This window comes from Homo sapiens, chromosome 5 (genome assembly GCF_000001405.40).
Source record: "Homo sapiens chromosome 5, GRCh38.p14 Primary Assembly".
NCBI classification, from domain to species: domain Eukaryota; kingdom Metazoa; phylum Chordata; class Mammalia; order Primates; family Hominidae; genus Homo; species Homo sapiens.
Genome location: NC_000005.10, coordinates 160701099 through 160728816, shown reverse-complemented (window position 1 = coordinate 160728816; position 27718 = coordinate 160701099). Strand labels below are relative to the sequence as shown.

General features: G+C 41.2%; 1 protein-coding gene across 12 annotated transcripts in view; it reads left to right on the top strand.

Annotated features, from left to right (window-relative positions):
- Positions 1-27718, top strand: part of ATP10B (ATPase phospholipid transporting 10B (putative)) — a 366241-nt gene that overhangs the window by 200544 nt on the left and 137979 nt on the right. For 11 of the 12 annotated variants that reach the window (XM_017009252.2, XM_047416995.1, XM_011534468.3 and 8 more), the window contains one exon: positions 11783-11908. The exons of the other annotated variant lie outside the window; for it this stretch is intronic. The gene's annotated coding sequence lies outside the window, so the exon portion shown is untranslated. The remainder of the gene's footprint in view (positions 1-11782; positions 11909-27718) is intronic. 12 annotated transcript variants of the gene reach the window in all.

Sequence of the window (27718 nt, the reverse complement as noted above, 5' to 3'; positions counted from 1 at the left end):
TCTGAGAGAATAAAGCAGCCAGCAAAAGGGTTCCGTGAAACAGTGAAATTAGAGGGAGCCCAGTCCATAAGACCACCCTAAGGTCTGACAACAATTGCATGTCTTGGGGTTCCCCAAGACCAAAGGTGTGAAAAATTCACTATCAGGACTCACAGAACTCACTGAAAGCTGTTATTCTCATGGTTAGGTCTTATTACATGGAAAGGGCACCAATTAAAATCAGCCAAGAGAAGAGACACATTAGGCAGGAGCCAGGGAAGGCCCAAATGCAGAGTTCCCACTTTCCTCTTCCCATGGAGCCATGGGTGTGTTATTTCCCTGGCATCAGTGTGAGACAACATACACAGTGTTGCCACCCGGAGAAGCTCCCTTGAGCCATGGTATCCAGAGTTTGTATTGGGGCTCTATCACATACGTATAGTTAGATAATTGAAATAAGTGACTAAAGCAAAGATCTCAATCAATAGAGGTTTGTTAAGCCAGCTTCAGGGTGTATCGGGGAAAAACTCAAGCCACACACATGTCTGTGGCTATTTTTCCAAATAGGTTTTCAGGCAGTTTAGTATTTACACATTTCCTTAAAGAGGGGCAGGCATCCAAGAAGAAGAGACGGTAGGCAGTAAGGTGAATGGTTACATTCTTGTGAGACTTTAGTTAGTGCCCAGTAAATCTACATTTTACATAAGATAAGGTGAATGTTTGAAAAGAAAAAAAAAGTAAAGGAAGAATCAATTACATAGACTTCTCTGGGTAGGTAGAGAGCTGACTGATCTCTTGTCTTTCTTCTACACCTGGGAAGATAAGCTTGTAATGACATTATCAGTGTGAAACCAAACAGATATTAGTTTTAGGAGCAAGACTTAGATTGTAGACCTAAAGTTACAATTGGTATGTCCTTGTTCACAAGAGGCCAAAAAATAATTTACCTATGAATGATCTGTGGAGGCAGTCACACTTGGAGATGCCTGAGGCCTTTTACCTTTCCTGGTGGTCTGGCTAATGCATAATGCTAGTAACAGCTACTCATTTGGAAGAGGGTGTTGCATGACTCAGGCTGTAGGTTTAACCTTCCCTTTGGCATAAGGACTTTGGGATCCTGAGATTTTTTTTAATTTTCCTTTATGGGTTGTATGACCACATAGCTGATTTCAGTCTCCAACACCCCTGGAAGTTGAGCTGATACCGTGGGACCCAAAGTTCCCACCCTAAAAAAACATTGTTAAACTATTTGGCAGGACCCAACACACCAGGCAAATAAAAATGAAAACACCCTCAGGAATAACATTCCAAGGGCTTAGAGATGACCGGAAGCCAGGGACAAAGGCCAGACCTCCCTTAGGCAAGGTTAACTTCTTTACCACACTGAACCCTGCATCTATATTCTTCCTGACCTTCTTTACCTTTGTTTTCACAAAGCATACCGGGAAATGCGTGTGCTTTGGAATCAGGCAGGCCTGTGTAGGCTGTACCACTTATACCTGTGTGGCCTCAGCCATTCACTTATGCCTGTAAGCCTCAGTTTTCTCCTGTGGAAAATGATGATAGAGGTGCCTATCCCTTGTGGTGTTTGTAGGGATCGGCGTTCATGCTTTCAGTGTATAATGTCCAATATAATACTAATATGTAGCAGGTACCGTAAACTCAGAAAATCTAAGACAGGTCTCAGTTAATCTGGAAAGTTTATTTTGCCAAGGTTGAGGACCCATCCGTGACACAGCCTCAGAAAGTCCTGATGACATGTGCCCAAGGTGGTCAGGGCACAGCTTGGTTTTATACATTTTTGGGAGAGCTGAGACATCAATCAATATATGTAAGAAGTACCTTAGTTCCTTCCAGAAAGGTGAGGACAATTCAAAGCAAGTCCCCCACCCCACCCCCGGGGGCTTCCAGGTCACAGGTAGGTGAGAGACAAATGGTTGCACTCTTTTGAGTTTCTGATAAGTCTTTCCAAAGGAGGCAATCAGAATATGGATCTATCTCTGTGAGCAGAGGGATGAGTTTGTTAGAATGGGAGGCAGATTTGCCCTGAGCAGTTTCCAGCTTGAAAGGGCCCAAGATATTTTCCTTTCATAGTACCCAATAAATGAGAGCTCACACTTGCAGCCTTCTCTTCTTCATCTCTCCTCCTCCTCCTCCCCCCCTACTCCTTCCTCCTCCCCTTCTTCCCCCACCCCCTTGCTCTCTCTGTTTCCCTTTTCAACTCTCTATCTTCTCTCAGGACAGGAAGATGTCACTTCAGTGTGCTGTGAATAAGGAAATGCCAAATTTAAGGGAACCAGATTCTTGCAGCAGTCTTGGGATATCCTGCCTCCCAGAGACAGCACCTGATGGCATCTGTTTAACAAAGCTAGCTGTCTAGGGCTGGGATGAACAGGACTCACACTTTGTAATGACTTAGCTCCACTCCAAGTCTGGTGTAAATTGAAGATGAAAATGTGTTTTCCAAAAATACTCAGGCTGTTGCTGATGCCTGGGCCTGTTTCACCTTGGTTATACAATAGTCTTGTCTGTGCTTCTCTTCTGGGCCTACATGGCTGGGCTTGCATGCCAGGCAACTTTCCTAAGAAAAACCCCGCACTTATCCCTGGTGTGAGCAAACAATAAACTCACCATGCAGAGAAAAGGTCTAAAGCACCCCAGAGTGACATTGACCATGTTATGAAGCAACGTCTTAGTGAGGCCATGGAACTTGCACCACCCTGAGTTAGGCTCGCGCGTCTCTCAGTGGCTTTCCTGATGCTTCCTAGAATTGTTCTGTGGTTTGGGAAAAGGCACACCTTCCCCAGACTCTCATTCCATGATTGAGATTAGCCTTCCATGTTTATTCTCTCCAAAAATGCCTTCTCCAACTCCCATACTACTCCCTGACTACATGTCCTTCTCTCTACAGAATTATAATCAAAAAGAAAAAAACAAAAAAATTTTGGTTCAGGGCCTCGGTTTCCAGATTATTAAAAAATCTGAGTCACAGATTTTGCCATTTCCTTCACTCCATTTCTTCCCACCAATGTAGCATTCAGAATAATCAATGGCAACAGGCTAGTGCATCTTCTACCTAAGAATCCCATAGTAGGCCGGGCGTGGTGGCTCACGCCTGTAATCCCAGCACTTTGGGAGGCCAAGGCGGGCAGATCACGAGGTCAGGAGATCGAGACCATCCTGGCTAACACGGTGAAACCCCGTCTCTACTAAAAATACAAAAAATCAGCCGGGTGTGATGGCGGGCGCCTGTAGTCCCAGCTACTTGCGAGGCTGAGGCAGGAGAATGGCATGAACCCGGGAGGCGGAGCTTGCAGTGAGCCGAGATCGCACCACTGCACTCCAGCCTTGGCGACAGAGCAACTAAAAAAAAAAAAAAATCCCATCGTAAGCCTGTGATGTATCCAGAAAATTAGATCTAGGTAAGACGATGAAACATTCATGCACTGCCCTTATTTTACTGCAAGAACTAGAGTGAAGAAGGTAGTTTTCCCCAAGTCACAGACATTCTTAGTGAGTAAAGCAGGGTAATCAGTGAAGACAGAACTTGAGTGAACTCAACCAAAGATTTTGCTTTCCGTATGTTCAGGTTATTTTTATGACTGCCATCTCTTCAAACTGTTCTTCCCCTGTAAGTATATCCTCCTTTCTTCATCTATTTTGCAGTCATTCTTTCTCCTGTTTCTTTCCTAAATCAGACATCATTATCTTTTTTAATCTTAAACTTTTTTATTAAGTCAGAGGAATAGGTCTTCTTCCGTAATTCATTAATTCAACAGATATTTATTTAGTGTTTCCTACATACAAGGAACTATTCTAGGCTTTCTGGAAAAAGCAATGAACAAAACAGACAAAAGTCCCTGTTTTCATATAGTTTACATGCTAGTAGTGGAAAGCAATGGCAATAAGCAAACAAAAAATGTAAATGTATATATTACATCAGATGATAAATGCTTTGAATAAAAAAATGCAAGGAAGGAGGACAAAGGCTCCCAGAGTGGAGGGAACTTACAGTTTTAAATAGGATGGTCAAGGAAGTTCTCATTAAAAAGAGCAAGAAACAGAGGAGGTGCTCAAGGGAGGTTTGCAGGTATCAAGACAGAGGTAATCACAGGTTTGAAGTCTTTGAGGGGGCACATGACCTGTGTGCCCTAACAACAACTGGGAGGCCATTATAGCTGGAGCAGACTGAACAAGAGAGAAGGGGAACTTAGAAAGAGGATCAGAGAAGAGAGGAGGGGCCAGAATGTATAGGGCTGTCAGTATTAACTGCAGAGTAACTAAGGGATACAAATACAAAGGAATTATAGTTAGAATTATAGTTATGGTACTTTACTTTTACTCCAAACATATAGGAAGCCAATGGAGAGTTTTGAGTGCAGTTGAGAAATAACTTGACATATTTTTAAGGATGTGGCCAGGTACACTGGCCCCTTCCTGTAATTCCAGCACTTTGGGGGACTGAGGTGGGATGATCACTTGAGGCCTGTAGGTCAAAGTTACAGTGAGCTATGATTACATCACTGCATTTCAGCCTGGGTGACAGAGTAAGACTCTGTCTCTAAAAAAAAAAAAAAAAAAAAAAAGGAATTATAGCTTCTCAGGTAAACTTGTGTCATGGGGGTTCATGGTACAGATTATTTCATTACCCATGTACTAAGCCTAATACCCATTATTTTTCCTGATCCTCTCCCTCCTCCCATCCTCCACCCTCCGATAGGCCCCAGTGTATGTTCTTCCCCTCTCTGTACCCTTGTGTTCTCATCATTTAGTTCCCACTTACAAATGAGAACATGCAGTGATTTGGTTTTCTGTTCCTGTATTACTTTGCCAAGGATAATGGCTCCATCCATGTCCCCGCAAAGGACATAATATTATTCTTTTTTGTGGCTGCACAGTATTCCATGGTGTATATGTACCATATTTTCTTTATCCAGTCTATCATTGATGGGCATTTAAGTTGATTCCATGTCTTTTCTATTGCGACTCATGCTACAGTGAACGTACGTGTGCTTTTTTAAGCACAGACTCAGGAGGCAAAATAAAAGTGCAATCAGGTAGGAGATATAGTGGTGACCTGGATCAGGGTAGTATTAGTGGAGGCAACAAGAAATAGACTGTTATACATTAGTGTAAATAACATGGTATTTCTTGATTAATTTTATATGGCTAGATACAGGAAAAGAGAGCGAGAGAGAATGAAGGGGAGAGAGAGAAATAAGAATGACACAAAAAATTTTGACCAACAACTGAAAGGATGAAGTTGCCATGGCCATTTGGGGACAAATTATGCTTACTCCCTCTGCCTCAATTTTCTCATCTGCCAAGTGGGGGAAAATAACCAAAATGATATGGTGATTATGACAGATAAATGAGTTAATACAAGCAAAATGCTTAGAATTGTGTCTGGTGCATAATAGTTAGCTACTGTTACATCCTCCTCCTCTTCTCCCTGTGTATTCCTTCAGAGAACTAAACACAGTCTGATATGATCTTGTTTATTTTTTCTTTATATATCTCCTCCACCAAAATGTAAGCTTCATGAAGGCAATGGTCTCACCTGTCAAGTTCATGCCATATCACCAGCTTCTGCAACAGCATTTCAACCTTAGTATATGCTCGATGAATATTTAATGCATAGAAGTATGAAAAGGTAAAATAGTCAGCCCAGATTTTCCAGGACATCTCTCTTGACATAGGCACTGTTCATCTCACACACACATACTTGTCCATTTGTGACTTAGAAAATGTGGTCACTGCCATTAAGATGAACCACAGATAGGTTAGATGGTTCATGCAGGAAGATTTCTGTGTATGCTATGCCTTGGCGAAAGGAAAATTCTATCTAAACACAGCCATCAGTGAAAGGTCTGAGATTCCATGGACAGTAATCTCAGTATGCTCTGTATGAAGCTGAAATCAATGCACCTGGTTGTTCTGTAATTAGCAGAGCTGCTGCCCTGCCTCCACTCTCTGCTTCCACTGTCAAGGTGTTGCTCATCTCTGGGCTGGCTTTCCATCCCAAGATGGTTTGGCTTGCTGTGCATGGCTGGAGGGAAGCAGGAGAGGGCAAGGACCCAATTAGATTGAAATGGAATCGAGTCTTTGGAGGCCCCTTGTCAGGGTGAAGAGTGTTGGATGTTCCCAGTGATGGCAGATGCTTCTTTATTTGGGCTGATCTCAGAGGTTAGAGATCATTTGTAAATCAGATTTGCTCCATTTGGTATGGCAAGTCCTGTTTTCTGTGCCTTATTTTTTTTTTAATCCCTGAATCTTTTTCCCTGTGTTTTGACATGCTTGCTGCCAGCAGAAAGGCTGTTTGGTCTGGAATGAATATTTCAAATTCTTGGGAGCAGCTAAGGTAGCAACCAAGTCCATAAGGGAATGGATGATCTGTTCACGTGGTGCTAAAACAACCCAGTGGGAAGAATATAGGCAGAACACATGACAGTACGAATGAGTACAAAGTGAAGCCTCAATAATAATTTCCCCTGATTTTAGATGGGAGAAGGGGAAATGAGTTATATTCATTATTTCGTCTTTAATTTGTGGTTCTTAGTCTTTGTATAGATGATATTCCAGGGAATGTAATCTTCAAAGAAATAATATCCCATTCTGAGTATAAACACAAATTTTAATCCAAATTATGAGATGTTTAACCCAGATTAATAGACTCATAAGAACCCGTGGGCTATCTGAAATGTGTTTGTTTGCTTGGATATGTTTAGTTAACAGCCACTTATGACAAATACTTCCTACGAAGCACTCGTTCTAATGTTTTAAAAATATTATTTCATGGAATCCTCACAGCCCAAGAGGTATATATTATTATTATCCCCACACAAAGAAGGTAATTGAGATCCTGAGAGGTTGAGACTCACAGCTAGAAAGAAGCAGAGCTAGTATTTGCATCCAGGTAGTCTGGATCCAGTTGTTTGCAAAATGCTATAATGGCTCCAAGACAGGACCAGCTTTGGAGTTGTTTCTTAATTTTGTCTTATTAAGGGAGGGCATATTGAAAGGAATCAGGAGCATCTCATAGAATCTAAGAGCCAAGAGAGCAGTCAGCCCTGTGTGGATAGTAATCGGGGAATATAAAGTCAAAAGAAGTCTTTTTAGCCATCTGTTCTGTCTTTTAGCTCTTCTTCATGTTTTCTTTGTAAGACTGGCCTAGGAACCCACTCATCAGCTTGAATGTGGCCCATCTTAGCTGACCAGCACAGTAGCCCCATCCTCTTAGCCTTTTCCACCTGCCTCTCACATTTTCCTCTCATCAGTCTCCCAGTCATCTGAAACTTTAAAGATAATGATGACTGGCCTAAATGACAGAGATTTAAAAGTTTAATTTTCAGAAGCTTCACTGGAAATCTTGAGGGGCACTGCAGCAGCCTGTTCAGAACTCTTTATGTCACACTTCTTCCTTTATGCAGTGACACTTGTGACAATGGCCTGGGGCCTAAATGAGGCAAAAGTGAGAGCATTAGCCCTGATGTGGCAGTACTAGATATCTAGCAGAATCTATTTTGTACCTCAAAACCTTATTTTCTTTTTGATAAAAATCAATATTGTAAATCAAGTGAGCATCATCATGATTTCCCACGGATATTCATTGTTCAGGATGTATTAACAGTCCATACGGACAGAGCACCATGGTCCATGAACCCCGAGGTGTTCTGACATCCTGTTCTGTGATTCAAAAAAAGCAAGATGTGTGCACAGTCTCCAACCTATGAAGGCCCAGATGGCAACTTTCCATGTTTAAACTGCTTTTTATTATAAATATTTACACACACACACACACATATGCACATACTTCATGACAACACCAACTTGTATTTACAACAGGCTTACTTACTGCAACCAACTCTTATGCCAATTATTCACTGAGGGAATTGAAATCAGTCCAGTGTAATCAACAATAGTAAGAAAAAGCAATCGGCTTAGTTGTGGGAGGGAATAATTTTTTATTGCAAACCTTTGTAAGCAGCATGCAAATTATATGCTTCTCTACCAAAGCTACAGTGCTGACCAAGGCAACATTTCTCTTTCAAAAACTAAGAACCCATGTGGTAAAACATCCAGGAAGGAATTTTCAACATGAGGAAAGGATGGTTTGAGCTTATCAGGAAGAGAGGGCTATAAACTCAAGGAAAAGCTGCAAATGCAGAAAAGAAGAAAAAGAAGAATCTTCCAGAAAACTGTGCTGAAATTGTTGAAATAAGAAGATAGTCATCGCAAAGAATATTTTATATCACACAACAAGGATCAAGATTTCTTGGCCAACGCCTGATTGAAGAAGCTTTCAGGCATACTGACTCATAAGAAAAGTTGTAAGAGAGCTGACTTTAATTTTAATTCAGTCCAGAGGACCCTGGAGCAAAGAAAAGTGTTTAAGAAGCTTGTTAAGAGACATATTTCCCAGGAAAGAAAGCCAGTGTTTTCATTTTAAACTCCATCGCACTTAGTTTTTAAAGCCTCTTTAAAAAGAAAGAAAATAAATTATAGCCTTTACATTCAGTGTTTCATTTTTGCTTTCTAATAAATGTTGCAAAAGCACATATTTTGGAGGTTATTTTCCCCTTCATTTATTTTCATGATTAGTGTTGGTATTTTTACGGTATACAAAGAGTTGCCATAAGCATAATACCAATTCATAACATCACACCAAGGGGAAATAAGGGCTTATATTACATTCACTACATTTGCCAGCAGAAAACAATTAGGTTAGCAGTTGCAATTCAAGTAAATTCAGAGTAGCCATAAAATCACCAATGCCTTGGGAGGAGTTACAGGACATTTCAGAATCTTTACTGAAGGAAGAAATGCAACTTCTTTCCTGCCATTTGTTGATGCTGCAATTCCATTTGTGAAAGGAAAAAGTCTAACCACCATAATAGCTCTGTTAGTTTTTCTTGGGATGGCAGAATCATAGGCCTGAGAGACCTGCATATAAATCCTGCCTGGGTCTTTTATAATCTGAGCTTCAGGAAGCTGCTTAACCTTCTGGGACTGAGTTTCTTCATTGGAAAATGGTAATAATCACACTTCCCTTGCAAAGTGATGGTAAGTATTAGAGATAATCTACTCAACAGCACCTGGCACATAGAATGGACGAAATAATGGCCATATTATTTTACTTTTCCTAATGAGGACAATAATATTTATAGTAGAGTTTTGAGATTATGTTCAAACAAGTCACTGGCTCTTTACATACGGATCTCTTGAATGTCCTATGCCATTCCAGTCCATTGTTATAAATCTCTGTTTTTATTTAATAACTCATTTCCATTCAACTCAGCAACCATTCAGCAAGCACTACTATGGACACAGTGCTAGGCAAGGCAAGGCATACAAACACAAATCATGCATTGGCCTTTGCCCTCCAGGAACTACTGGGTTGTTGCAAAAGTAGTTGCAGTTATTGCCATTACTTTTTTTGAGACGGAGTCTCCCTCTGTTGCCCAGGCCAGAGTGCAACGGCGCGATCTCGGCTTACTGCAAGCTCTGCCTCCCGGGTTCACACCATTCTCCTGCCTCAGCCTCCCGAGTAGCTGGGACTACAGGCGCCCACCAACACGCCTGGCTAATTTTTTGTATTTTTAGTAGAGACAGGGTTTCACCATGTTAGCCAGGATGGTCTCGATCTCCTGACCTCGTGATCCGCCCGTCTCAGCCTCACAAAGTGCTGGGATTACAGGCGTGAGCCACCGTGCCCGGCCGCCATTACTTTTAATGGTAAAAACCCCAATTACTTTTGCACCAACCTAATACAGTTTTTTTATTTATTGGCTAATTGTTCCGTCCCAGTCCAAAGAACTCTGACGAACTTCAATCCTGTTGAGTTTACTTATTCCTTTGTTTATTCATCTGTTTATTCAACATCCAAGTTTGTGCTATGTGCCGGGACAGTGGCGGATCTTGAACCAGACGTAGTCCCTGTTCACGAGGAGCACTCTAGAGGGTTACTAGGGTTTGGTTTGTCCCTACCAAAACTCATGTTGAAATTTGATCCCCAGTGTAGCAGTATGGGAGGTGGGGTCTGATGAAAGGTGTTTGGGCCATGGGGTCGGATCCCTCTTGGGTGGCTTGGTGCCATTCCCAAGGTAGTGAGTGAGTTCTTGCTATGATGATACTGGATTAGTTCTCACAAAAATGGATTAGTTCCCATGAGAGTGGGTTCTTATAAAGCCAGGACACCCCTGGGGTTTTGTCTCTTTGTGTGTGTACCCTTTCCCTATGTCTTCTTCACCATGTTAGCATGCAGCACAAAAGCTCTCACCAAAAAGCAGAGCTATGCCCTTGAACTTCACAGTCTATAAAACTATAAGCTAAATAAACTTCTTTTCTTTATAAATTACCCAGTCTCTGATATTCTGAGACCATGGTATTGTTAGAGCAACACAAAATGGACTAAGACAAGGAGAATGCAGAGTGATTAATGTTCCAGGTTGGAATCCATACTTGTCTGACTTCAGAACTGGGGCCCAAATCTGCCATGCTGTACTGAGACATTTAATGAGCTTTATTAAAATCCAGTCACACACCCTGCTTCATCTCCTAGTAGACTTCTAGGAAGGGCTTTCTGGTATGTACCCAAAACTAGTCACCTAGTTTAGATTTGGGAAAGAAATGGCACTAGGGACGTCAGTGTACGCATCCAATTCCTGGCCAAAGTTTCTACCTCAAGTACATTGCTGCTTTCTGCCCTGCAGAGGCAAGACCATGAATAACAAAATGCTTAAGCAGCCCTCCTATTTCTTTAGTTTCTAGACCAAATCCTCTCTCTGAGCAATTAGCCCCTTGCTTGCTTTCTCCTTGATCTCAGCCTGGCTGGCCCTCTGTGGCCCCCCAACTGAGATCCCACCAAGTACAGGGTAAATCCAACCTATGTTTTCATTCCAGATTCAGCACCCCGCCTTATCCCTTGTGACTAGTTTTGGGTACATACCAGAGAGCCCTTCCTAGAAGTCTACTAGGAGATGGAGCAGGGTGTGTGACTGGACTTTAATAAAGCTCATTAAGTGTCTCAGTACAGCATGGCAGATTTGGGCCCCAGTTCTGAAGTCAGACAAGTATGGATTCCAACCTGAAACATGCTCCCATGAATTGTAGGGTTTTAGGGAGGATATTTAACTTTACTGAGCCCTAGTTTCCTCTTCTGTAATATGGGAATAACAATAGTTTTAGCGCCAGGGATCTTGTGAGGATTAAATAAATTCATATTGGTGAAAGGCTTAGCTTAGTGTGTGATATTTGATAAGCTCTCAACCAATATATCACCGTTAAAGCAGGTGCTCTCCAAAACTGCTTCACTTTGGAACAAACTGTCCCAAGTTCACTGAGGGCTTGAACTTTTAGCAGGGAAGGCAGTTCTCAGGGATTCAGACCTTTTTCTACAGGAAGAGAGAAAATTGAGACAGAAAAAGAGAACTGAACAACAGAAGAAGAGAATTGGAGATATACATACGCTCCCCAAAGACACACCAGGCTTTGCCCTCTATCCAACTAATCAAATTTGAACATTATATCATTTTTGTTTTAGATTTTCTTTGAAAAAATTTAGAGATATAGTTGAAGTTTATTGTGTATTCTCCTCCAATTCCTCTCCTTCTCCAAGCATTACTGTTGTCCTAAACTTGGTATTATTTCCACACATGTTTTTCTACTATCATAAGTATATGTAAAATTCAAAACAATATAGTTTCACATAAAGAATATGTAGCATTGTTTTAAACCTTATATAAATAGCATTTATAACTGAACTGTTAGTTGCCTACTCAATATTTTCTTTTCTTGCTTACAGAACTTGCAATTTATTCTGATCAACAATTTGCCCAGCTAAAGTACTACATCTGCCCCCTCTTCCTGTGGCTGTAGGGGCACAGCAAAGGTCACTGGTCTAACCTCCTTAAAGGGACTCCGCTAACAGGTATATCTTTTGCGTTGCTTCCCCGTTTCTTTCCTTTTCCTATGTGGAACATGACTGAGGTGGATGTAGCTCCAATAGTCCTTTGGTTCATGACACCACCTTGATGATGGAAACCAGAGCTAAGGATGATGGAACAGAAAAAACGGGGTCCCGCAGGACCTTGGTGCCTCCATATCAGCCTTGGACTACCTACCTCTAGATTTGTTTTACATCATAAAGAAACCTCTACCTTGTTTAAGCCACTTATTGTTGTTGTTTTTGTAGTTGTTAAATGTGGCTGAACCTAACCCTAGATAATGGAGACTCATATGTATCGTCTTCCCAGTGGAACTTTTTGCTCAACTTTACATTTTGTTTCCTAGCATTCTGTTTGTTTTATGAGGCAAGCATAGTGTTAAAGCACCAATTCTGGAGTAGATGGGCTGGTTCACAGCCCAACTCTGCCACCGACAGCTATGAGACCTTTAAATACTTAAACTTCCCTGCTTCTTACTTTCTTCATCTGTAAAATGGGGATGCTAATAGTACCCCCCATCACAGGGTTGTTATGAGAGTTATATGAATTAATATTGACATGCAAAGTGCTTATAGTAGTACTTACAGCAAAATAATAGTTAACCCTTAATAAGACATTATTATATGCTATGTATTCATGAGATATAGTATAATTTTAACTGCCATTAGATATTCTATTATATAAATATGTTACAATTTTTTTATTCTACTCTTTGATGGACATTTGTTTCCATTTTTGACATTTACTGAATGATGACGTAATTAATATTTCTGAAGATCTCCTTGTGCACGTGTGCAAATTGCTTCAAGGTATGTATATAGATGTGAAAATGCTGGGTCTAAGAACATGTGCACTTTCAACACGGCTTAATAAAACTAAATTCTGGCCGGGTATGGTGGCTCATGCCTGTAATCCCAGCACTTTGGGAGGCCCAGGAGAGTGGATCACGAGGTCAGGAGTTCAAGACCAGCCTGGCCAAGATGGTGAAACCCCATCTCAACTAAAACTACAAAAATTAGCCAGGCGTAGTGGTAGGCACCTATAATCCCAGCTACTCAGGAGGCTGAGTCAGAGAATTGCTTGAACCTAGGAGGCAAAGGTTGCAGTGAGCCGAAACCACACCACTGCACTCCAGCCTGGGCCACAGAGTGAGACACTGTCTCAAAAATAAATAAATAAATAAATAAATAAATAAATAAATAAAGCAAGCTAAATTCTTCTCAAAATGGTCACAAAAATTTGTTTATGAGAGTGGGAGGAGCCAAGATGGCCGAATAGGAACAGCTCCGGTCTACAGCTCCCAGCGTGAGCGACGCAGAAGACGGGTGATTTCTGCATTTCCATCTGAGGTACCGGGTTCATCTCACTAGGGAGTGCCAGACAGTGGGCGCAGGCCAGTGTGTGTGCGCACCGTGCGCGAGCCGAAGCAGGGCGAGGCATTGCCTCACCTGGGAAGCGCAAGGGGTCAGGGAGTTCCCTTTCCGAGTCAAAGAAAGGGGTGACGGACGCACCTGGAAAATCGGGTCACTCCCACCCGAATATTGCGCTTTTCAGACCGGCTTAAGAAACGGCGCACCACGAGACTATATCCCACACCTGGCTCAGAGGGTTCTACGCCCACGGAATCTCGCTGATTGCTAGCACAGCAGTCTGAGATCAAACTGCAAGGCAGCAACGAGGCTGGGGGAGGGGCGCCCGCCATTGCCCAGGCTTGCTTAGGTAAACAAAGCAGCCGGGAACCTCGAACTTGGTGGAGCCCACCACAGCTCAAGGAGGCCTGCCTGCCTCTGTAGGCTCCACCTCTGGGGGCAGGGCACAGACAAACAAAAAGACAGCAGTAACCTCTGCAGACTTAAGTGTCCCTGTCTGACAGATTTGAAGAGAGCAGTGGTTCTCCCAGCACGCAGCTGGAGATCTGAGAACGGGCAGACTGCCTCCTCAAGTGGGTCCCTGACCCCTGACCCCCGAGCAGCCTAACTGGGAGGCACCCCCCAGCAGGGCCACACTGACACCTCACACGGCAGGGTATTCCAACAGACCTGCAGCTGAGGGTCCTGTCTGTTAGAAGGAAAACTAACAACCGGAAAGGACATCTACACCGAAAACCCATCTGTACATCACCATCATCAAAGACCAAAAGTAGATAAAACCACAAAGATGGGGAAAAAACAGAACAGAAAAACTGGAAACTCTAAAACGCAGAGCGCCTCTCCTCCTCCAAAGGAACGCAGTTCCTCACCAGCAACAGAACAAAGCTGGATGGAGAATGATTTTGACGAGCTGAGAGAAGAAAGCTTCAGACGATCAAATTACTCTAAGTTACGGGAGGACATTCAAACCAAAGGCAAAGAAGTTGAAAACTTTGAAAAAAATTTAGAAGAATGTATAACTAGAATAACCAATACAGAGAAGTGCTTAAAGGAGCTGATGGAGCTGAAAACCAAGGCTCGAGAACTACGTGAAGAATGCAGAAGCCTCAGGAGCCGATGCGATCAACTGGAAGAAAGGGTATCAGCAATGGAAGATGAAATGAATGAAATGAAGCGAGAAGGGAAGTTTAGAGAAAAAAGAATAAAAAGAAATGAGCAAAGCCTCCAAGAAATATGGGACTATGTGAAAAGACCAAATCTACGTCTGATTGGTGTACCTGAAAGTGATGTGGAGAATGGAACCAAGTTGGAAAACACTCTGCAGGATATTATCCAGGAGAACTTCCCCAATCTAGCAAGGCAGGCCAACGTTCAGATTCAGGAAATACAGAGAACGCAACAAAGATACTCCTCGAGAAGAGCAACTCCAAGACACATAATTGTCAGATTCACCAAAGTTGAAATGAAGGAAAAAATGTTAAGGGCAGCCAGAGAGAAAGGTCGGGTTACCCTCAAAGGAAAGCCCATCAAACTAACAGCGGATCTCTCGGCAGAAACCCTACAAGCCAGAAGAGAGTGGGGGCCAATATTCAACATTCTTAAAGAAAAGAATTTTCAACCCAGAATTTCATATCCAGCCAAGCTAAGCTTCATAAGTGAAGGAGAAATAAAATACTTTATAGACAAGCAAATGCTGAGAGATTTTGTCACCACCAGGCCTGCCCTAAAAGAGCTCCTGAAGGAAGCGCTAAACATGGAAAGGAACAACCGGTACCAGCCGCTGCAAAATCATGCCAAAATGTAAAGACCATCGAGACTAGGAAGAAACTGCATCAACTAATGAGCAAAATCACCAGCTAACATCATAATGACAGGATCAAATTCACACATAACAATATTAACTTTAAATATAAATGGACTAAATTCTGCAATTAAAAGACACAGACTGGCAAGTTGGATAAAGAGTCAAGACCCATCAGTGTGCTGTATTCAGGAAACCCATCTCATGTGCAGAGACACACATAGGCTCAAAATAAAAGGATGGAGGAAGATCTACCAAGCCAATGGAAAACAAAAAAAGGCAGGGGTTGCAATCCTAGTCTCTGATAAAACAGACTTTAAACCAACAAAGATCAAAAGAGACAAAGAAGGCCATTACATAATGGTAAAGGGATCAATTCAACAAGAGGAGCTAACTATCCTAAATATTTATGCACCCAATACAGGAGCACCCAGATTCATAAAGCAAGTCCTGAGTGACCTACAAAGAGACTTAGACTCCCACACATTAATAATGGGAGACTTTAACACCCCACTGTCAACATTAGACAGATCAATGAGACAGAAAGTCAACAAGGATACCCAGGAATTGAACTCAGCTCTGCACCAAGCAGACCTAATAGACATCTCCAGAACTCTCCACCCCAAATCAACAGAATATACATTTTTTTCAGCACCACACCACACCTATTCCAAAATTGACCACATAGTTGGAAGTAAAGCTCTCCTCAGCAAATGTAAAAGAACAGAAATTATAACAAACTATCTCTCAGACCACAGTGCAATCAAACTAGAACTCAGGATTAAGAATCTCACTCAAAGCCGCTCAACTACATGGAAACTGAACAACCTGCTCCTGAATGACTACTGGGTACATAACGAAATGAAGGCAGAAATAAAGATGTTCTTTGAAACCAACGAGAACAAAGACACCACATACCAGAATCTCTGGGACGCATTCAAAGCAGTGTGTAGAGAGAAGTTTATAGCACTAAATGCCTACAAGAGAAAGCAGGAAAGATCCAAAATTGACACCCTAACATCACAATTAAAAGAACTAGAAAAGCAAGAGCAAACACATTCAAAAGCTAGCAGAAGGCAAGAAATAACTAAAATCAGAGCAGAACTGAAGGAAATAGAGACACAAAAAACCCTTCAAAAAATCAATGAATCCAGGAGCTGGTTTTTTGAAAGGATCAACAAAATTGATAGACCGCTAGCAAGACTAATAAAGAAAAAAAGAGAGAAGAATCAAATAGACACAATAAAAAATGATAAAGGGGATATCACCACCGATCCCACAGAAATACAAACTACCATCAGACAATACTACAAACACCTCTATGCAAATAAACTAGAAAATCTAGAAGAAATGGATACATTCCTCGACACATACACTCTCCCAAGACTAAACCAGGAAGAAGTTGAATCTCTGAATAGACCAATAACAGGCTCTGAAATTGTGGCAATAATCAATAGTTTACCAACCAAAAAGAGTCCAGGACCAGATGGATTCACAGCCGAATTCTACCAGAGGTACAAGGAGGAACTGGTACCATTCCTTCTGAAACTATTCCAATAAATAGAAAAAGAGGGAATCCTCCCTAACTCATTTTATGAGGCCAGCATCATCCTGATACCAAAGCCGGGCAGAGACACAACCAAAAAAGAGAATTTTAGACCAATATCCTTGATGAACATTGATGCAAAAATCCTCAATAAAATACTGGCAAACCGAATCCAGCAGCACATCAAAAAGCTTATCCACCATGATCAAGTGGGCTTCATCCCTGGGATGCAAGGCTGGTTCAATATACACAAATCAATAAATGTAATCCAGCATATAAACAGAGCCAAAGACAAAAACCACATGATTATCTCAATAGATGCAGAAAAAGCCTTTGACAAAATTCAACAACCCTTCATGCTAAAAACTCTCAATAAATTAGGTATTGATGGGACATATTTCAAAATAATAAGAGCTATCTATGACAAACCCACAGCCAATATCATTCTGAATGGGCAAAAACTGGAAACATTCCCTTTGAAAACTGGCACAAGACAGGGATGCCCTCTCTCACAACTCCTATTCAACATAGTGTTGGAAGTTCTGGCCAGGGCAATCAGGCAGGAGAAGGAAATAAAGGGTATTCAATTAGGAAAAGAGGAAGTCAAATTGTCCCTGTTTGCAGACGACATGATTGTTTATCTAGAAAACCCCATCGTCTCAGCCCAAAATCTCCTTAAGCTGATAAGCAACTTCAGCAAAGTCTCAGGATACAAAATCAATGTACAAAAATCACAAGCATTCTTATACACCAACAACAGACAAACAGAGAGCCAAATCATGAGTGAACTCCCATTCACAATTGCTTCAAAGAGAATAAAATACCTAGGAATCCAACTTACAAGGGATGTGAAGGACCTCTTCAAGGAGAACTACAAACCACTGCTCAAGGAAATAAAAGAGGACACAAACAAATGGAAGAACATTCCATGCTCATGGGTAGGAAGAATCAATATCGTGAAAATGGCCATACTGCCCAAGGTAATTTACAGATTCAATGCCATCCCCATCAAGCTACCAATGACTTTCTTCACAGAATTGGAAAAAACTACTTTAAAGTTCATATGGAACCAAAAAAGAGCCCACATTGCCAAGTCAATCCTAAGCCAAAAGAACAAAGCTGGAGGCATCACACTACCTGACTTCAAACTATACTACAAGGCTACAGTAACCAAAACAGCATGGTACTGGTACCAAAACAGAGATATAGATCAATGGAACAGAACAGAGCCCTCAGAAATAATGCCACATATCTACAACTATCTGATCTTTGACAAACCTGAGAAAAACAAGCAATGGGGAAAGGATTCCCTATTTAATAAATGGTGCTGGGAAAACTGGCTAGCCATATGTAGAAAGCTGAAACTGGATCCCTTCCTTACACCTTATACAAAAATTAATTCAAGATGGATTAAAGATTTAAACGTTAGACCTAAAACCATAAAAACCCTAGAAGAAAACCTAGGCATTACCATTCAGGACATAGGCGTGGGCAAGGACTTCATGTCCAAAACACCAAAAGCAATGGCAACAAAAGCCAAAATTGACAAATGGGATCTAATTAAACTAAAGAGCTTCTGCACAGCAAAAGAAACTACCATCAGAGTGAACAGGCAACCTACAACATGGGAGAAAATTTTCGCAACCTACTCATCTGACAAAGGGCTAATATCCAGAATCTACAATGAACTCAAACAAATTTACAAGAAAAAAACAAACAACCCCATCAAAAAGTGGGCAAAGGACATGAACAGACACTTCTCAAAAGAAGACATTTATGCAGCCAAAAAACACATGAAGAAATGCTCATCATCACTGGCCATCAGAGAAATGCAAATCAAAACCACTATGAGATATCATCTCACACCAGTTAGAATGGCAATTATTAAAAAGTCAGGAAACAACAGGTGCTGGAGAGGATGTGGAGAAATAGGAACACTTTTACACTGTTGGTGGGACTGTAAACTAGTTCAACCATTGTGGAAGTCAGTGTGGCGATTCCTCAGGGATCTAGAACTAGAAATACCATTTGACCCAGCCATCCCATTACTGGGTATATACCCAAAGGACTATAAATCATGCTGCTATAAAGACACATGCACACGTATGTTTATTGCGGCACTATTCACAATAGCAAAGACTTGGAACCAACCCAAATGTCCAACAATGATAGACTTGATTAAGAAAATGTGGCACATATACACCATGGAATACTATGCAGCCATAAAAAATGATGAGTTCATGTCCTTTGTAGGGACATGGATGAAATTGGAAATCATCATTCTCAGTAAACTATCGCAAGAACAAAAAACCAAACACCGCATATTCTCACTCATAGGTGGGAATTGAACAATGAGATCACTTGGACACAGGAAGGGGAATATCACACTCTGGGGACTGTGGTGGGGTCGGGGGAGGGGGGGAGGGATAGCATTGGGAGATATACCTAATGCTAGATGACACGTTAGTGGGTGCAGCGCACCAGCATGGCACATGTATACATATGTAACTAACCTGCACAATGTGCACATGTACCCTAAAACTTAGAGTATAATAAAAAAAAAAAAATTAAAAAAAAAAAATTTGTTTATGAAAGTATCCATTGCATCTCATCTTTGCCAAATCTCAACTTTAATTAGACTTCTCATTTTTCACCAGTCTGATGATGGTATAACAAGGTAATTTCATTGCTGTTTTAATTTACATGTCCCTGATTACTAGTTAAGCTGAAAATAACTGTATGATTTGGAGATATTTGGATTTCTTTTCTGTGAATAACCTGTTCGTGTCATTTTTTATTTTTCCATTGAGTTATCTTTTCCTTTTCAAATTTGTGTATCTAATAATGTTACAAACATCTCCTCCCAATATGTGGTTTACCTTTGCATGTTGTTTAGGGCACAGAAAGTTTAATATAGTGAGATTTATCAGTTTTTCATTATTGATACCTGTGCCCTAAGAGTTTCCTCCCTACCTCAAGACCATAAGGATATGCTCTTGTATTTTGTTTTAATCCTCACCCTATCCCTCAATGAGGCAGGTCTTTAATGCACTTAGAATTTATTTTTTGTGTTGAAGTAGAAACAAGTTTTTGTTGTCATTGGTATATGAGTTATTGATGGTCTCAACACTATTTTCCAAGGGGTCTGTCTGTCTGTACTGATTTGCAAGGCCATATCTGTCACGTAACTAGCTCGCATATCTACACGGGTCTGTTGCCTGGCTCTCCGATGTGTATCATTTGTCTGCTTGCTATCATGGTGCCAATATACACTGTCTGAATCTCAGTCTCTAAGGGGTCTTTAATCCACGAGATAATTCAAGAACCTTGCATTGTTGTCATTATGCAGATAAATCAGAGTCAGGATGGATTTTTCCCTAGACAGACAGCTCTTCCATCATGACGTAGAACAAGTCTCAGTGCCATAGGAACATAGCAGAAGGGCGGAATAGATTTAACTCAAACTTGCCTTTTACTTCTCTTCTCAATTTATACCCTGTGATATTACAGATTCCAAACCTGTACATGCCTTCTACCACCATCAGAGGCTTCTCTACATGATTCTGTACTCAACAGAGCCCCACCCCACACTGCTGGACAGCAAAGCCATTTGTCTTACTAATGGTCCAAAGGAAAGGAAAGCTGCCTAGATGTCATATCTATAGCCTGGACAATTAAGAAGCATTTGTGATAGAGAACATTATATTGGAGATGTAAAAAGTCACCAAATCCTCACGTGTACAACTCTAAAAAGATTGAGAAAATTGAAATTAATTATCCACTCACTAGATGGGGTGTTATCTCCTTGGCTCTCTCATGAAAGGACAGAATAAAGTTATTAGAGATTGGAAGGGGGCGGGGGTTGAGTGTAGCTACCTGCACGTGTTAATTTGCTTTTATCTCAATTTCACATATCAGAATAATAAGCCAAAATACCCTCAGAAAGAATGCTAGTTTTGTTTTAAAAATCAGACAACAAAACCTCAACGACACCCTAAAAATGTTGCAGTGGTTGTCAACCTCCCTGGACACCAGGGAACGTCAGTGGATCTGCCTCAGTGGCCTCAATCAGACGGGCATATAAAAAGCAATGCCCAGTGGTTTTTCTAAACATCCATGGTCTCTTGCCAACAATTGAGGTTTAATGAAGAGGGGAAAACTAGACCTCAGAGAGTAAGTCTTCTGAAGGTGGATATTTCCTGGAGGCATGTGCAACTCCCAACCCCCATCAGGCATTCCAGCCGGGGGACATCACTCTATCATTCTTCTTCAAGCTTGTAGTGTCTGATTGATTTATCGATGTGCTGCTTCTCTGAGTCTCCACGGGCATTTTGCCATTCAAGCCACAGGAGTACTTAAATGCCGAAGCCTGTGTCTCTACTTTCTTCCCAATTCTTTTTTGTCTCTTCTCTTTCTTCTGTTTCTGCTTCTGTGGGTTTGTGGTCTTGTCATAGCAGATTCTTAGTCATTTTGACTTTATAGATTCTCTTCCACTCATCTGATATTAATAGGCTTTTCTTTAAGAAAAAACAGATTAACAACTTTGGTCTATTATTCTTCAGAAAGATGTACTTGAATTTGTGTGCCCCTATTCAGAACATAACATGCGCATATTACAATTTAAAAAAAGTATGTGATATTGTCTCATGGCTATGGAAAGTCTGTATCGAGAAATTTATTTGCTTGCAATTTAATGAGTTTTATAATAACCAGAGAGTCCCTTCAGCATCTCAAATGGAGCAAGAAAGTTGTGATTGGCTGTCATCAAGAGACCAGGGTTCCTACCTTAAAAAGCCAGATCACTGTCCAGCAATACCAGCTTAGGGGGTCCTAGATTTGGGGGATCCCACTGTAGTGGAAGAGTCAGAAGAAGTGTGACTCACATTAGAAAGTTGCTCAGTATTGTTTCAGATGAGAATAAAGAGGGCTGGGCACGGTGGCTCATGCCTGTAATCCCAGCACTGTGGGAGGCTGAGGTGGGCAGATCACCTGAGGTCAGGAGTTTAAGACCAGCCTGGCCAACATGGTGAAACCCCATCTCTACTAAAAATACAAAAATTAGCGAGGCGTGGTGGCAGGCGCCTGTAATCCCGGCTACTAGGGAGGCTGAGGTGGGAGAATTGCTTGAACCTGGGGGGCGGAGATTGCAGTGAGCTGACTCAGAGCCACTGCACTCCAGCCTGGGCGACAAAGCGAGACTCTGTCATAAATAAATAAATAAATAAATAAATATTAAAACAAACCAACAGTCCACAAATCTTTGACCCATTGAGTCTTTTGGTGCCCTGAGGCCTATGTGTCACTGTGACACTAAGGCCAGTCTCTACTTTTCTCTAATTTGAAATACTTTCTAATTTAAGAAGTGAAAAAATCACCCAGGTGAAATCTGAATAGTCTGTTGTTTAGTTCATTGTCCTGTATCGATATTAATTTCTTAGTTTTTGACCAATGTATCTTGGCTATGTGAGATTAGGAGAATCTCAGGTAAAGGAACTCTCTGTATTATCGTTGCAATTTTTCTGTAAACCTGAAATTACTTCAAAATAAAAAGGTTATTTTTAAACAAACTAACCAGGGCAATCACAGATGACTCAGGCTACGGAGGTAAACCTAAGTGGAATTCTGGCTCACGTTGAGGTAGAAAAATCAAGAGCCAAGGTGTCTGGGATGCACAGTGGGGACCTCATTTTAACTCTACTACTGACTATTCTTGCAACCTTAAGCCACTTAACGTCTCTTCATTTTTATTGTTTATTATTACAAATTAAATCCATATTAATTATATAATAACACAGGCAAACCTCGTTTCATTGCTCTTCACTTCATTGAACTTCCTTTATTGCACTTCACAGATACTGTGTTTTTTACAAATTGAAGGTTTGCAGCAACCCTGCATCAAGCAAGAACACCACCATGATTTTTCCAACAGCATGTGCTGGTTTTGTGTCTCTGGGTCACATTCTGGGTATTCTCACAATATTTTAAACCTTGTCATTTATTACACCTGGTATAGTGGTTTGTGATCAGTGATCTTTGATGTTACTATTGTAATCATTTTGGGGCACCGCCAACCACACTCATGTAAGGTGGCAAACTTAATCTCTAAATGTGTGTGTCCTGACTACTCTACCATCCAGCTGTTCCCCCATCTCTCTCCCTCTTCGTGGGCCTCCTTATTCCCTGAGACACAGAAACATTGAAATTAGGCCAATAAATAACCCTACAATGGCCTCTAAGTGTTCAAGTAAAAGGAAGAGTTGAATGTCCCTCACTTTAAATCAAAAGCTAGAAAATGATTAACCTTCATGAGGAATGCATGTTGAAAGCCAAGACAGGCTGAAATCTAGGCCTCTTGCACCAAATAGTTGACCAAGTTGTGAATGCAAAGAAAAAGTTCTTGAAGAAAATTAAAAGTGCTATTCCAGTGAATACACAAATGGTAAGAAAGCAAAACAGCCTTATTGCTGATATGAAGAAAGTTTTATAGAGCTGGATAGAAGGTCTAACCAGCCACAACACTCCCTTAAGCCAAAGCCTAATCCAGAGCAAGCCCCTAACTTTCTTCAATTTTATGAAGACAGAGAGAGGTGAGAAAGCTGCAGAAGAAAAGTTGGGGCTGGGCATGGTGGCTCACACCTGTAATCCCAAAGTGTTGGGCAGATTGTAATCCCAATTGTAATCACACTTGTAATCCCAAGGTGGGCAGATTGCTTTAGCCCAGGAGTTCAAGACCAGCCTGAGCAAAATGGTGAGACCCCCATCTCTACAAAAAAAAATACAAAAGAAAATAGCCAGGCATGGCGGCCTGCACCTGTAGTCCCAGCAACTTGGGAGGCTGAGGTAGGAGGATTGCTTGAGCCTGGGATGTTGAGGCCACCATAAGCTGAGATGGTACCAGTGTACTCCTGGACATGCCTGGACAACAGAGCAAATCCCTGTCTTAGAAAACAAAGGATAAGGTTGGGCACCGTGGCTCACGCCTGTAATCCCAGCACTTTGGGAGTCCGAGGCTGGCAGATCACGAGGTCAGGAGATCGAGACCATCCTGGCTAACACAGTGAAACCCCGTCTCTACTAAAAACACAAAAAATTAGCCGGGTGTGGTGGTGGGCGCCTGTAGTCTCAGCTACTTGGGAGGCTGAGGCAGGAGAATGGCATGAACCCAGAAGATGGAATTTTCAGTGAGCTGAGATCATGCCACTGCACTCCAACCTGGGTGACAGAGCAAGACTGTCTCAACAAAAAAAAAAAAAAAAAAAAAGATGAAAGAAATGTTGGAAGCTAGCAGAGATTATTTCATAAGGTTTAAGGGAAAACAGCCATCTCCATAATATAAAACTGCGAGACTGCAAGGTGACGCAGCAAGTGCTGATGTAGAAGCTGTGGCAAGTTATCAAAAGATCTAGCTAAGATAATTGGTAAAAGTGGCTGCGCTAAACAATGATTTTTAGTGTAGATGAGTTTTTAATGTAGACAAACAACCTTATATTGGAAGAAGATGCCATCTACAACTTTCATAGCTGGAGAGAACTCAATGCCTGGCTTCAAAATATCAAAGAACAGACTGACTCTCTAGTTAGAGAATAATGCAGCTAGTGACTCTAACTTGAAGCCAATGCTCATTTACCATTCCTAAAATCCTAGGGTCTTTAAGAATTATGCTAAATCTACTCTGCTTGTGTTCTGTAAATTAGGACAACAAAGCCTAGAGGATAGCACATCTGTTTATGGCATGGTTTACTGAATATTTTAGGCCTGCTGTTGAGACCTACTACTCAGAAAAAGAAAATAAAAAAATTTTTTCAAAAGATTACTATTTGGCCTGGCACAGTGTTTCATGCCTATAATCCCAACTCTTTGGGAAGCTGAGGCAGAAGGATCACTTGAGGTCAGGAGTTCAAGATCAGTCTAGGCAACATAGGCAACTGTCTCTACGAACAATAATAATAAAAAAAAAATAGCCACGCATGGTAGTTCACATCTGTAGTCCCAGTTACTAAAGAGGCTGAGGCGAGAGGATCGCCCAGGAGTTTAAGACTGCAGTGAGCTATGATCATGGCACTCCCAGTTACTAAAGAGGCTGAGGTGAGAGGATTGCCCAGGAGTTTAAGACTGCAGTGAGCTGTGATCATGGCACTGAACTCCAGTCTGGGTGACAAAGTAAGATCCTGTCTCTCAACAACAATAACAAAGGTTACTACTCCTTAACACTGCCCCTGGTGACCTAAGAGCTCTGATGAAAACGTACAAGGAGATTAATGTTGTTTTCATGCATGCTAACATAATATTCATTCTGTAGTTTATGGATGAAGGCGTAATCTCAACTTTCAAGTCTTATTACTTAAGAAATACATTTCATAAGGCTGCAGTCACCACCCCCCTTATCAGTTAACAGCCATAACATCAAGACAAGCCAGGCACAGTGACTCACACCTGTAATCCCAGCACTATGGGAGGCCAAGGCTGATGGATCACCTGAGGTCAGGCGTTCAAGACCAACCTGGCCAACATGATGAAACCTCATTTTTACTAAAAATTCAAAAATTACCCAGGTGCCTGTAGCCCCAGCTACCCAGAAGGCTGAGGCAGGAGAATGGCTTGAATCCAGGAGGCAGAGGTTGCAGTGAGCCAAGATCGCACCATGCACTCCAGCCTGAGTGACAAGAGTGAGACTCCATCTAAAAAAAAAAAAAACAAATATCATCAAGACAAAACTCTCCAACAGCAAAAAGATTATGACTATTTTTATAAGCTCAGATGATGGCTGACATTTATTAGCAATAAAGTATTTTTTAATTAAGCTATGTATTTTTTAGACATAATGCTATTGCACACAATAGACTACAGTATAGTATAAAACATAGCTTTTCTATGCACTGGGGAACTAAAAAATGTATGTGACTCACTTCATTGCAACATTCACTTCATTGTCGTATTCTGGAACCAAACCCACAGTCTCCGAGTTACGCCTATATGTAATTATATACATAATAAATTATTATAAATATTTCAGAAGAAAGGGCAATCAGATTCATCTCTAATATATGGAAAAATGAATAATTACCCACAGTCACATCCTCCAAACCACAATTTCATCACATATGAAAATCCAGTATGAACAAATTTGCTTCTGCAGATCTTCTAGTTGACCCCAACAGTTTCAGTTCCAGTATATATTCAGTTCTAGCATATGCAAATATCAAGTCATTTTTAAGAAAAGAGGAAACTAAAGGGTTAGGTAAGAATAAAAATGGTATATAGAAAATAGAGGTGGCATAAACTACTATTAAAAGATAAATAATATTGAAAGCAGGTGAATTGTATTCTTAGAAGTGTACCTTGGTTCTACTGGGAAAGCCTTTCCTGAGACAGAGCATCCTGTTACAAGTATCTTGGCCAGAAATTCTCCTGAACAGAGTTAAGAACTTGTAATCTTGTATAATGGGAAAGGAGTTTCAAAACACTTCCCCAGTAATTCACCAATCTCAAAAATTCAGTTTTTCATAATTCCCTCAGATCAAAGGAGACAAAAGTCAAAAGCCCTGAGTCATAAAATCAAAATAATTTTTATTTAATATTTCATAACAGATGTTAGCTACAAACAAAATTAATTTCAAGTTTCTTGTGTCAGGAGAGGCAAGCATTAAAAAGTTCTGAGGAGGAGATCCCAAGTGAAATTGCATCATACACATTGTTAATTACATGAATAAGTGTCATTTATATTGACGTTATTTTGCATGCTACCGTGGTTGTTTTGCTTAAAATGTTTTTTGTTATACTCCCAAAATTTGGTCCAAAAACAGGGAACTTCTATTATGATTTCTCAAGTTCCTTAACCACAGTTACTTCTAACTGGAGATTTTGAGGAATTTAATGCCTACGGCTGAAAAGAACCATTACAATACAAGCCCAATTTACCTCATAGGATTATTTGGGGAATAAAATGAGATAATAGAAATAAGTTTCTTTGAAATATTTTTAAATAATTTTAAATTACAAATTATTGTTTTTTGTTTATCAAATAAGTGAAGTATTTCTTAGTGTCTGTCAGTCATTGTACCTAGGAAGGAGGTGTAAAGTGATGACTGTCCTCACAAGGCAATAGGGTAGAGGGGTAAGTGCTCCCAGGAGCACTGGGGGTTAGAGTGGCAACTGACCTCATAAAGTACTGGGGTAGAGGGGTTACTGTTCCCAGGAGGCACTGAGGTAGAGTAGTGACTGCTCCCAAGAGGCCCTCGGGAGAGGGGTGACTGCTCCCGGGAGGCATTGGAATAGAATGATGACTGCTCCCAGGAGGCACTGGGGCAGAGGGGTAACTGCTCCCAGGAGGCATTAGAATAGAAGGGTGACTGCTCCCAGGAAGCACTGGGGTAGAGGGGTGACTTCCCAGGAGGCATTAGAATAAAAGGGTGACTTCTCCCAGGAGGCACTGGGGCAGAGGGGTGACTGTTCCCAGAAGGCATTGGGTAGAGGTGTGACTATTCCCAGGAGGCACTGGGATAGATGAGTAACTGCTCCCAGGAGACATTAGGGTAGGAGGGGGTGACTACTTCCAGCAGGCACTGTAGAGGGTAGAGTAGTGACTGCTCTCAGGCAGCTCTAGGGTAGAAGGGTGATTGCCTTGTAGAATCCCTCAATCCAGACTTGTACAGAGGTTCACTACCCAGAACTAAGGGCTAAAATGGGATAAGGAAGAGTACTGTGGAGCACACACATAGCCCCTCAATCATAAATTAGCTAGGCTTTTTGAGCATGGGAAGTGGGTTACAGCATGCTGGTAATGATGGTGTGTCAGTGGGAGAGAAAGATGGACACAAAATAATTTCCTTATGACTAGAATGTAAAAGAGAGGATAACAAAAGACAGGGCTGGGAAGAAAGTCTGTGTCTAGTTTATGAGGGGAAGGAGTTGTAAATTATGTTTAAGTTTTGTTCCTTATGCTGTCTGAGGGAAATTAAAATCAGAGAGGATTTTAGGCAAGGAGATGGCATGAGTCGATCTAGAGTTTGGCGAAGTATTTCTGATTTCACTGTGGAAAAGAGACTAGAGGGGGCAAAACTGGCAGCAGAGGGACAAA